The sequence below is a fragment of the Homo sapiens genome, chromosome 16, assembly GCF_000001405.40.
Source record: "Homo sapiens chromosome 16, GRCh38.p14 Primary Assembly".
NCBI lineage: Eukaryota > Metazoa > Chordata > Mammalia > Primates > Hominidae > Homo > Homo sapiens.
In genome coordinates this window covers 77,119,217-77,120,916 of record NC_000016.10, presented here as the reverse complement: position 1 = coordinate 77,120,916, position 1,700 = coordinate 77,119,217, and the positions used below count along the sequence as shown (strand labels likewise).

The window sequence follows — 1,700 nt, the reverse complement described above, 5'->3', positions numbered from 1 at the left end:
TTTGTGATTTCACAATATATACAAATATCTAAACATCAAGTTGTATATCCTAAATATATACAATTGCTATTTGTCAATTATAACTCAATAAGACTAAAAAAATGAGGACAGTCCACTAAACTATTGGTAATAATTTCCTGTTGGTAATAGTGCTCCTGGAGGCTAGAAAAGAGGGGTGGATTTCACTCTCAATGCTACCTATAAAAGATACTTATGTTTAGTTTTTTCTTTAATTGAAAAAAGTTAAAGAGAAAATAGTTTGTGTAGAATAAGTGCACTGATATAGGAAGCTATTCATATCTTAAATGAGAAAGTTATTTAAAAAATAAGTATACACTATACCATTTCATTTTGTTAATTATACACACACGGAAGTTTGTAAGGCTACAAAGCAGTATATTAACAATGGCTGTCACTAAATAAGAAGGTTGTACATAAAAAAAATTAGCACCCTGTTAACAGAGTTCGCTTAGTTAAGGCCTGCTTATTTTCTCAGGGATTAAGATGCAAACTCCTAAGCATTCTGATAGTCAGAAGTGAGTTCTGGTAAAGAAGATAGAAAAAAATCCTAATTCAGCCCTCTCTCTGTCTCTTTCTCATTTTATAATAGACTGTGACTTTATTCTTTAACAAAAGCACTCTTCCAGTGAAAAGACCCTTTTCTGTATGTGGAGTTTTTTTTTTTTTTTCTTTTTGAGATGGAGTCTCGCTCTGTCGCCCAGGCTGGAGTGCAGTGGCACGATCTTGGCTCACTGCAAGCTCTGCCTCGCAGGTTCATGCCATTCTCCTGCCTCAGCCTCCCGAGTAGCTGGGACTACAGGCGCCCGCCACTATGCCCGGCTAATTTTTTGTATGTTTAGTAGAGACGGGGCTTCACTGTGTTAGTCAGGATGGTCTGGATCTCCTGACCTCATGATCTGCCCGCCTCGGCCTCCCAAAGTGCTGGGATTACAGGCGTGAGCCACGGCGCCCGGCCTTATGTGAAGTTTTTTAACTGATCACAGTAGAGCTTCAGACCAGTGATAAGCAAAGCAGAGATTTGCTATTATCTTAAAACAAGGGAGGCTTGTTTTAAGTAGATAGTCATCACTGCATTAGCTAAGCCCACAGAAGAAAACACATTAAGAGAAAATGAAAAACGAACAAAAACAAACAATTGAAATATTCTTTCCATGAATTAGAAGAGTGTTCTTAAGCAAAAGTAAAGTAAGTGAATTAAAATAAGCTTCATTGGGAAATATTTTTTCACCTTTAGAGTTTACGCTCATTTGGATACAATGAAAAAATATTATTTGTTCAGTTCTCTACAGTGATGAGAAACAAATATTTTTAGAATATTACATAAAAATGAAAAGGACAAATAAGTGTTTCTTACAGTTTTCTGAATGATCTCTAATACTAAACTCATTATAAATGAAGCTTAATAAATGAATATATTAAGCTTAAAATATAAATATAGAGTCAATGTATTCATCCATAAAGCCTATCTTTAAAAACAGCAAATATCCTTGTATATGGTAATTGTCATATCATTTGTAGATTTTGATTTAGTGTTGCAGTAGGTAATTATCCTAAGACCCTGAGAGTAATTTATCAATAAGACAGAAAGAGAGTGTATGCTTAGTTTAATTAAGAGGGATGCTCACACATGGAGCTCAGTTGATTCTAAGTGTTTAAGAAATATACGATTGGCTCTCAAA

At 34.7% G+C, this 1,700-nt stretch overlaps 1 annotated feature.

Moving 5' to 3' along the window:
- Window positions 314–483: an enhancer, noted in NCBI's record as "experimental_45073 CRE fragment used in MPRA reporter constructs". NCBI's record gives its function as "activates a minimal promoter by MPRAs in K562 erythroleukemia cells, with activity observed for the introgressed 16:77154416 variant allele {active_cell/tissue: K562}" and the evidence as "EXISTENCE:reporter gene assay evidence [ECO:0000049][PMID:34662402]".